This window comes from Homo sapiens, chromosome 17, assembly GCF_000001405.40.
Source record: "Homo sapiens chromosome 17, GRCh38.p14 Primary Assembly".
NCBI lineage: Eukaryota > Metazoa > Chordata > Mammalia > Primates > Hominidae > Homo > Homo sapiens.
Window position 1 is genome coordinate 67,058,116 of NC_000017.11, and position 7,511 is coordinate 67,065,626.

The 7,511-nt window shown below is 47.4% G+C and overlaps 1 annotated feature.

The window, feature by feature from the left end:
- Positions 6,817-7,178: a silencer, noted in NCBI's record as "fragment chr17:65061048-65061409 (GRCh37/hg19 assembly coordinates)". NCBI's record gives its function as "represses an EF-1alpha promoter that drives an FKBP-Casp9 reporter gene in an ReSE screen in both phorbol 12-myristate 13-acetate-treated (for megakaryocytic differentiation) and untreated K562 erythroleukemia cells {active_cell/tissue: K562 | K562(+PMA)}" and the evidence as "EXISTENCE:reporter gene assay evidence [ECO:0000049][PMID:32094911]".

Here is a 7,511-nt window from a genome sequence, read left to right on the forward strand (position 1 = left end):
ATGAAAAATGTGTGATTACGCCTGTTCTGGAGGAAAACTACAACCATCAGCCCCCATATCAACCTCTTACTGGTCCCATCTAAAAGCTGAGGGGAAGTTCATTATTTCAGTTCGCCTGCGGTATCTCGGGGGTGTGGGCTGGGCTAGGAGGGGTGTCAGAGGAGACTCACTCAAAGACGCAAAGATCCAGCCAGGAAACAAACTTGCTCCAGGTAAAGGAGAATCAGAAGATGACTGTCCTGGCCAGCCAGGGAGCTGGGGCCATGATTTATGAGTAAGAAGGAAGAGCGATAACTTCATCCCATTGATAACCATTTTGGAGGTTGATATTATTGGTGTTTTTCTTTTTTTCTTTTTTGAGACAGGGTCTCACGTTGGAGTACAGTGCCCAGGCTGGAGTACAGTGGCACAATCACAGCTCACTATAGCCTCGAGTTCCTGGGCTCAAGTGATCCTCCTACCTCAGCCTCCCAAGTAGTAGGGACTGCAAGCGTGCGCAGACCACACCCAGCTAATTTTTTTTTGTTTTTTGTTGAGACAGGGTTTTGATATGTTGCCCAGGCTGGTCTCTAACTCCTGGGCTCAAGCGATCCGCTAGCCTTGGCCTCCCAAATTGCTGGGATTACGGGCATGAGCCACCACACCCAGCCTTTTTTTTTTTTTTTTTTTAACAGATCGGAGTCTTGCTATGCTGCCCAGGCTGGCCTCAAACTTCTGGGCTCCAGATGTCCTCCTGCCTCAGTCTCTGGAGTAGCTGGGATTACAGGTGTGAGCCACCATGCCTGGCTCCAATATTATTCTTTTATTACTATTTTTACTTTTAGCAGAATCAGACTGGCATGCATTTTTTCTTTTCTTTTCTTTTTTCTTTTTTTTTTTTTTTCTTTAGATGGTGTCTTGCTCTGTCACCCAGGCTGGAGTGCAGTGGTGTGATCTCAGCTCACTGCAACCTCCGCCTCCCGGGTTCAAGCAATGCTCCTGCCTTAGCCTCCCGAGTAGCTGGGATTACAAGTGCCGGCCACCACACCCAGCTAATTTATTTTTGGTAGAGACGGGGTTTCACCATGTTGGCCAGGATGGTCTCGAACTCCTGACCTCAGGTGATCCACCTGCCTCAGCCTCCCAGAGTGCTGGGATTACAGGCGTGAGCCACCATGCCCGGGGCCTTGGCATGCATTTTCTACTTCCCCATGGATGCCTATGGGTCGGTCCCCCCAAAACACATCTGAATGGAATATCCACCAAACAGAATACATTCGGCTTCCCAGGCTTTTAACTCTTCCAAGATATACTTCAGCACAGCCAGAACTGCGATACAAACCAAAGGGTTGGAGGCTGGCCGCCAGAGAGCCACACATCCTGGCATCTGCCCCAGAAAGAGGCAACGCAGCAAAGCAAAATAAAGTTGACCAAACCAATGAGGGAAAACGTCTTACTCCCCACCCGCCAAATGCTGCTTGCCAGAAGGATGTCCACAGGGGAAAATGGTTGGCTTTGCCAGGGACTGAAGGCCTCACTTCAGGGTCCATGCAGGCCCTGCTCTGAAGGCCACCCAGAGCCCAACCACAGAACAAACAGTGCCATCTGCCCTGAAGCCTTGGTTGGCCTCAGAAGCTACTGGCTTCTCATTCCTTGCTGTGGGAACTGTGTGTTTTTTTGTTTTTTTTTTTTGAGACAGAGTCTTGCTCTGTTGCCCAGGCTGGAGTGCAGTGGCATGATCTCAGCTCACTGCAACCTCCGCCTCCCAGATTCAAGCGATTCTTCTGCCTCAGCCTCCTGAGTAGCTGGGACTACAGGCGCCCACCACCACACCTGGCTAATTTTTGTACTTTTAGTAGAGACGGGGTTTCGCCATGTTGGCCAGGCTGGTCTCGAACTCCTGACCTCGGGTGATCCGACCACCTCGCCTCCTGGAACTATGTGACTTTGACCCACAGCACACCTTGATGTCCTGTCACACTTGCAATTTCTCAGCGTTTTTTGTTTTTTTATTAATTTTATTATTATTATTATTGAGACAGAGTCTTACTTGCTGCCCAGGCTGGAGTGCAGTGGTGCGACTTCAGCTCACTGCAGCCTTGACCTCCTGGGCTCAAGCGATCCTCCTGTCTCAGCCTCCCGAGTGGCTGGGACCACAGGCACGTGCCACCACACCCGGCTAATTTCTGCAATTTTTTTTTAGAGACAGGGTTTCGCCATGTTGCCCAGGCTTTCTCAGCGTTTTTACATCCATCATCTTCCGTGAGGCAAAGAAGGCAGCAGAGGCAGGACCAGCAACTAGTTCATCAAGATCCAGACTTAAGTGTGATTTTTTAAGAACTGTGGTAAAATACACATAACGTAAAATTACCATCTTAATCACATTTTCGTGTAGAGTTCAATCACGTTAAATACACTCGCATTGTTGTGCAACTCTGAACACCGTGCATCTCCAGAACTCTTCGTCATCCCAAACTGAAACTCACAAGCACTAACTCTGCGTCCTCTCCTTCCCACAGCCACTCTTCCACTTTCTGTCTCTGGGAGTTTGACTCCTCTAGGTACCTCGGGATCAGCGGAATCATGGAGTATTGGTCCTTTTGTGACGGGCTCATTTCCCTCGACTGCTAATGCCTTTAAGGTTCATTTGCACGGTACCAGGTATCAGAACTCCCTTCCTTTTTCAGGCTCAGCAATATCCCACTCTACGTATTCCCATATTTTGTTTATCCACTCATCCACTGATGGACGCTGGGTTGTTTCCAACTCTTGGCTCTTGTGATTTACTGCTGCTATCAACACGGGTTCATGCTCTGCTTCAGGCCCTGCTTTTGGTTGTTTTGGATGCACTGACTGGGACATTTTTAAAAAATTAAAATTAATGCAAAATCTCCACAATTAACACCATATCAAAACTATTAAGTAGGTGCAAACGTAATTGCAGTTTTTGCCATTGAGAGGAATGGCAAAAACTGGGCAGATGTGGTGGCTCATGCCTGTAATCCCAGCACTTTGGGAGGCAGAGGCGGGTGGATCACTTGCGGTCTGGAGTTCAAGACCAGCCTGGCCAACATGGTGAAATCCTGTCTCTACTAAAAATACAAAAAAAAAAAAAAAAACAGCCAGGCGAGGTGGTGGGCACCTGTAATCCCAACTACTTCAGAGGCTGAGGCAGGAGACTCGCTGGAACCTGTGAGGCGGAGGTTGCAGTGGGCCAAGATCCTGCCACTGCACTCCAGCCTGGGTGATGGAGCAAGACTCCATCTCAAAAAAAAAAAAAAAAAGTAATGGCAAAAACTGCAATTATGTTTGCACCAACCTAAATTAGAACCAAGGCTGCTGTTTTCCCACCTGTCTGATGAGGGCCCTTACCAATCCTCACTTGGCCTCTGCCCAGGTTCCTGGGAGAACCAAGAGATGGCTCCCTCTCTCTCTGGCCAGCACACGGTAGGACCTGCTCCAGTGGCTTGGTGCTTAGTTCCTCCTTAAACTGAAAATTTCAAGGATCTCTGTGTACCTCTATTTTTTTTTTCTGGCTGTGCCGGTAAAGACGGATTTTAATCACAGCCTATCGCAATATTTCCCCTGCCAGTGTGACTTGTTCCATTTTGACCAAATATTTTATTTACAAATCCATTTCTAATTTATACCCTGCCCACTTTCAGAAATGATTAGAAGTGGAGACAAGGTATTAATAAACCTATGATGTGGAACATATCTATTAAACCAATGATTGGTATTCAGGCTGGGATGCAGCTGCCCCTGGCTTCCCCAAGCCTTCATTTCTCAGTCTCACTCAATTGCAACCACTGAGGCCATAAATTAATCCCCACACAAGGCATTGATCCTGCACATTGGAGAAAGTTAATTAAGGTCATTGCCATTACAAGCAGCGATACTTTCTATTCTTTTGGCTTTGCTTCTGACAAGAATTTTTGCCTAAATGTGAAAGCCTGGACTTTTTGGAAATTTTCGTCATTTAGGGGATATGACTTTCATACACAGCTAGCCCTACCTTACTGCTACATTATTATTATTATTATTATTATTATTATTATTATTATTAGAGACAGAGTCTTGTTCTGTCGCCCAGGCTGGAGTGCAATGGCGCAATCTCGGCTCATTGCAATCTCCGCCTCCTGGGCTCAAGCAATTCTGCCTCAGCCTCCCAAGTAGCTGTGACTACAGGCACGCACCACCACACCCGGCTAGTTTTTGTACTTTTTGTAGAGACGGGGTTTCACTATGTTAGCCAGGCTGGTCTGGAACTCCTGACCTCAAGTGATCCACCTCGGCCTCCCAAAGTGCTGGGATTATAGGTGTGAGCCACCGTGCCCAGCCTTGTACTTTTGACCTCTGCTTCCTTCAAAAAATTCTCCAAATTTTCCCCCGAATATTTCCGTTGTCCAATGTTTGTGCTTCTACCACCTGCCCTTTAAACTTTGGTGTTTTCTGCCAGGTCTCATCTCACATCACAATTTCTAGGAAATCCCATTCATCTCCAGGACATCGGTTACCTGTGACCATCATAAGCCCCTGCCAATCTCTCATTCAGGTATCAGACCCGGTGTGTTGCCTTGCTTTCTGCAGAAACTTTGTTCTCCGGAGGTTCCAGGCCACCCCACGTGCCTAAGTCCAAACCTAACCCATGGCTTTTTTTTTTTTTCTTTTTTTTGAGGCAGTTTCACTCATGTTGCTCAGGCTGGAGTGCAATGGCTCCGTCTCAGCTCATTGCAACCTCTGCCTCCTGGGTTCGTGATTCTCCTGCCTCAGCCTCCCAAGTAGCTAGGATTACAGGTGCCCGCCACCATGCCTGGCTGACTTTTTTTTTTTTTTTAAGTAGAGATGGGGTTTCAGCATGTTGGCCAGGCTGGTCTCGAACTCCTGACCTCAGGTGATCCACCCACCTCCGCCTCCCAAAGTGCTAGGATTATAGGCATGAGCCACTGAGCCTGGCCCCAACCCATGACTTTTCTTAACCAAACCGACTCTGCCTTTTTTGTTCCCTCACTTTGATGGGCACCCTATGTACCTATGCCCCCAAGCCAGAAGTTGCTGTCATTTCTTGGACTCCTATCGTGCTCACTAAGCCAAGTCTCGCAGATTCTGCTTCTGAAATGACTCCCAAATCCATCTCCTCATTTTCGTTCTTTCTGTCACTGCCTAAGGGCTCTCTGACCCTCTCGCTGTCACTGGTGAGCACTGACTGCTCTGGAGAACACTGTCTCTCAAACATTCCAAGCCAGCTGACATCCCTCCCACACAGGGCCTCCTTCACTTAAACAAACACATGCTTACTGAGTATATTCACTTTCCATGGATGCTGTAGCAAATAACGGAAATGTAGTGGCTTAAAATAACACAAACTTATTCTGCTAGTTCTGGAGATCAGAAGTCTGAAATGAGTCTTATGAGGCAAAAATCAAGGTGTCTGCGGGGATAGTTCCTTCTGGAAGCTTCAGGTGAGAATTGATCGCCTTGCTTTTCCTGTTTCTGGAGTTAGATGGCGCTCCTTGGTTTGTGGCTGCGTCACTCCAATCTCTGCTTCCATCATGGCGTCTCTGTCTCTTTACTTTGATTCTCCTGCCTACCTCTTAGAAGGGCCCCTGTGATTACTACACTGGGCCTGCTCAGAAGATCCAGGAGAATCTCTTCACCTCAAATCCTTCACTTAGGCCGGGCGCGGTGGCTCACACCTGTAATCCCAGCACTTTGGGAGGCTGAGGCGGGTGGATCACGAGGTCAGGAGATCGAGACCATCCTGGCCAACACGGTGAAACCCCATCTCTACTAAAAATACAAAAAAATTAGCCAGGCGTGGTGGCGGGCGCCTGTAGTCCCAGCTACTCGGGAGGCTGAGGCAGGAGAATGGCGTGAACCCGGGAGGCGGAGCTCGCAGTGAGCCAAAATCATGCCACTGCACTCCAGCCTGGGCGACAGAGCAAGACTCAGTCTCAAAAAAAAAAAAAACACAAATCCTTCACTTAAGCACACCTGCCAAGTCCCTTTTTCCATATAAAGAAGCAGGTCTCACAGGTTAGGAAGTGGACATCCACGCAGAGGTTCTGAGGATTCGGATGGGGACGTTTGGGGAGGACCACTGTTCTGTCTACCATGCTGATGATCAACATTGCGTGCCAGGCTAGGCACTGTGCTAAACTAGAATAAAACAAGGAATAAATTACAGTCCTGTCCTTCAGGAACTCAGAGTTCAATGGCAGATGATTTTAAAGTAAAGTGCTGGGTTACGTGAGGTGGCTCACTCCTGTAATCCCAGCACTTTGGAAGGCCAAGGCGGGTGGATCACCTGAGGTCAGGAGTTCGAGACCAGCCTGGCCAACATGCTGAAACCCCATCTCTACTAAAAATACAAAAAGTTAGCCAGGCGTGATGGCGGGTGCCTGTCAGCTACTCGGGAGGCTGAGGCAGGAGAATCGCTTGAACCCAGCAGGCAGAGGTTGCAGTGAGCCAAGATGGTGCCACTGTAGTCCAGCCTGGGCAACAAGAGCGAAAGTCCATCTCAAAAATTAAAATAAAAATAAAAAATAAAAAGTAAAGTCCTATGAGATTTGAGATGAGGACTAAGCTCTATTTTTCTATCTTGCTCAAATTCCTACCTAAGGGGTCTAAGGAGTCATGCCCTACAAATCATAATCCTCATCGGATGGGTTCTATTTGACCCTATATATTGTGACTTACTTTTCAATCTGACTGGCATAACATTATGAGACAAGGAAAAAAATATTTAACCCCAAAATGTATTTCCTTGCCATACCTCGAAATTACCCTGCAAAGTCTCTTGTGGGAAAAATCCACATTCTATAGAGAATCCATTTCCCCCTTTGTTTTCCTTCCTTTCTTTCCAGATCCAGGAGATAATCAACTAAGAGCCAGGCACCCTTTTAGGTCTGATAAGAAACATTTTAGACCAGCTGCAGTGGCTCACGCCTGTAATCCCAGCACTTTGGGAGGCGGAAGTGGGCGGATCACCTGAGGTCAGGAGTTTAAGACCAGCCTGGCCAACACGGTGAAACCCCATTTCTACTAAAAATACAAAAATTAGCCAGGTGTGGTGGCACACGTCAGTAATCCCAGCTACTCCGGAGGCTGAGGCACGAGAATTGCTTGAACCTGGGAGGCAGAGATTGCTGTGAGCCGAGATCATGCCACTGCACTCCAGCCTGGGTGACAGAGCAAGACTCCGTTTCAAAAAAAAAAAAAAGAAACATTTTACAATCTGCTCTCTCTCTGAAGTCTGTTATCCAAGAGATTCCTCTGCACAGTAAAACTTGGTCCCCACAATCCTTTATCTTAACCTGAAGATTCCTTTCCATTAATCCCAGGTCTTCAGATAAACTCAACCAATTGTCAACCAGAAAATATTTAAATTTACCTATAGCCTGGAAGCCCCCACTTTGAGTTGCCCTGCCTTTCTGAATTAAACAGATGTATATCTTAAATGTATTTGATTGATGTATCATGCCTCTGTAAAATATATAAAATCAAGCTGCACACCGACCACATTGGGTACC